Source organism: Homo sapiens, chromosome 13, assembly GCF_000001405.40.
Source record: "Homo sapiens chromosome 13, GRCh38.p14 Primary Assembly".
NCBI lineage: Eukaryota > Metazoa > Chordata > Mammalia > Primates > Hominidae > Homo > Homo sapiens.
In genome coordinates, this window is record NC_000013.11 from 89,836,749 (window position 1) to 89,838,375 (window position 1,627).

General features: G+C 32.9%; 1 non-coding gene across 1 annotated transcript; it reads left to right on the forward strand.

Annotated features, from left to right (window-relative positions):
• Positions 1 to 421: 421 nt before the first annotated feature.
• On the forward strand, positions 422 to 489 carry LOC124903257 (small nucleolar RNA SNORD38). The gene has a single exon (XR_007063952.1). It is a non-coding gene; the product is annotated as a small nucleolar RNA SNORD38 (small nucleolar RNA).
• Positions 490 to 1,627: the final 1,138 nt, after the last annotated feature.

Here is a 1,627-nt window from a genome sequence, read left to right on the forward strand (position 1 = left end):
AATAATTATTGGGTTTTATGCTGGATAATATTTGTAATCTGAATTAGAATGTGAAGATTACTGCAGCTGTCTCACAGGTCATCAATAGTTCTGGGAACAGGAGAATGTTTTGGGAACTGTTAGCAGGTTACTGGAAAGTTTATGTAAAAGATGTTACATACTTTAAGTAGGATCCAGGCAGTAGTGTTTTAAGAAACAGTCCAGTTTGGATACTTTCTGAAAGAATAAATAGCAAGATTACATAAGGATACAATGACTGGAAGAATCAAGGAGAAAGCCTAGTGTTTTGGTCTAAGAGACTGGGTAAATTGAAGTAGTATTAACTATGATGTATAAAACGGACAAAAGCAATTTGTGAGTGGATAAACATCAGAATTTAATATTCAAAATTCAAGACCAAATACTGGAATTAATAAATTCATGTCAGTGCTGAAACTTTGTCAAGTTATGCTACTGACATGAAGTAATGATACAGTATATCTGAGGAGAAAAAAATAAATAAATTCACCTATTGGGAAAGTGTTGTTGGAGGAGAGAAAAATGACAAGAACTGAAAACATTTGTTCTCCGTCACTTCGTGGTCTGGAGTAGACAGAAGAGCAAAGGTACAAAGAGTCAGCAGCTGGTGAGCCTTGAGGGATACTAAGAGAGTGCAGTAACATGGAAACCAATGCCAGTGTTTCTAGAATAAGAGTGTTAACTGTGTGAATGCTGGTGGGAAAGTTGAATATGGGTAATAGACTTGAATAGACAATATGGTGCACATTGGTGACCCTATAATGTTTCAGAGGTGTAGTGACAAGGATGAACGGAGGAGATTGAAGAGAATGTGCAGTGGATGAATGCGGAAATTGTATCTGAGTCCTTCAAAAAAAATTTATTCTAAAGGGGGACAACATTTATTTGGTAGTAGTCAGAGAAGTATGATGTTCAAGAATATGGGACCCATTATAGCAAGTGATATGCAAATAGTAATGTGTTTCCAGATGATTTTTCTAGTCAAAAACAAGGTGGGAAAGAACTTTCTAGTTCGCAAAGTAATTAATGTAATTAATAGATTCTTATTATAATGAAATGCATTTAAAAATGTCAGCATTCCAAGAGACAGTATTTTCAACAAATTTATTTTTATGTTTTTATTTTTAACAATAATAGTTAACATTTATAAAGTAACTGCATTATTTTCTTATATTTTGGCTGATGAGGTTCTTTGAATTTTTCAAGTCTATTAATTGAAGACTTCCCCTCAACTCCCTCCCCATATTCTAGGAAGGATAGATAAGTATAGGGATGTACATAGTTCATTGTTATTACATCACGTCCTGGTCTGACCAACTATTTCCTTTAAAGTACTGCTAAAACTTGTCTACATTTTATAATTAAGGTGAATGTCAGTAATTTCATCAAATTACAACCTTTTGTTATTATATTATAGTGAGATGTGTGATTTCTGTATCCTCTAATAGAAATATTTCTAATAGCAAACATTTCTCTTTTTATAGAGTCAGAATCAAGATTTGTTTCCTCCACTTTGTTGAAACTTAAGCAAATATCTCTTGAATAATTGAATTGGCCCAAACTTTGTGGAATTTTGCCTACTTCATAATTGTTTATGAAATACATCTAC